At 37.7% G+C, this 1,037-nt stretch overlaps 1 annotated feature.

Annotated features, from left to right (window-relative positions):
* Positions 426 to 640: a silencer, noted in NCBI's record as "fragment chr4:46687601-46687815 (GRCh37/hg19 assembly coordinates)". NCBI's record gives its function as "represses an EF-1alpha promoter that drives an FKBP-Casp9 reporter gene in an ReSE screen in K562 erythroleukemia cells {active_cell/tissue: K562}" and the evidence as "EXISTENCE:reporter gene assay evidence [ECO:0000049][PMID:32094911]".

The following is a 1,037-nucleotide window of genomic DNA, read 5'->3' as shown; positions in this document are numbered from 1 at the left end:
TAGGCAGCTACATACTCTATGCTGTCTCCCATGTTCCTGAAACAAACTAGGCCTCAATATTCTTATAAAATCTTAAGGAGAAATGATGGAGCTCCCCAAATGCTTAGACATTCTGCCATCTTAGTGGCTGAACACTCCAAGCTAGGATAATTTCATTTAAAATATGGCATTTCTTGCATTTGATTACTTTTTAATGAATTCACACCCTTTTTCATGGGCCTTTACCTCCAAATAAACAGTTTTATTTTATTTATTTATTTTTTTCCCCAAATGGAGTCTCGCTGTGTCCCCCAGGCTGGAGTGCAATGGCATGATCTTGGCTCACTGAAACTTCTGCCTCCTGGGTTCAAGCAATTGTCCTTGCCTCAGCCTCGTGAGTAGCTGGGATTGCAGGCATCCATCACCATGCCCAGCTAATTTTTATATTTTTTAGTAGAGACGGGGTTTCACCATGTTGGCCAGCCTGGTCTTGAACTCCAGACCTCAAGTGATCCACCCACTTCGGCCTCCCAAATTGTTGGGATTACAGGCATGAGCCACCGTGCCTGGCCCAAATAAGCAGTTTTAGACTAAAGCTTCTAAATTGAGTAAGGTATACACAACACCTCTTCTTCAAAACCTTCCACTTGTGACTCAATCTGATGTGGCCTAACTTCTGGTTTAATCCCCTGTTAAAATTAATTACACTAGTACAAAAAAGAAGAGAGTTATTAAAATCAGAAAAAAAACTCATAATTAGAAATTTATATGAATAATACATTTTGTGAAACTATTATCATTTTCTTCTACAACAAAATAAAGCTGGTTAATTGAGAATAAATTCTAGATGCCATGTAACTTGATATTTTTATAGTACCAAATGTTTCATTAAGGATTTATAGTATACTCAGTATTACTCTACTCCTGGGGAAATAAGGTTTACAATAGAGGAAACATAACAAGCAGTTTTCATTTGATACGTTAACTCTAAAGATTTGGTAATGGCCACTGTCAGCTCTTTGTGAAGAAAGTACCTAGGGCTACATTCAGATGTTCTG

Source organism: Homo sapiens, chromosome 4 (assembly GCF_000001405.40).
Source record: "Homo sapiens chromosome 4, GRCh38.p14 Primary Assembly".
Lineage (NCBI taxonomy): Eukaryota > Metazoa > Chordata > Mammalia > Primates > Hominidae > Homo > Homo sapiens.
Note: the sequence above shows the minus strand (reverse complement) of the source record. Positions and strands in the feature narration are given on the sequence as shown.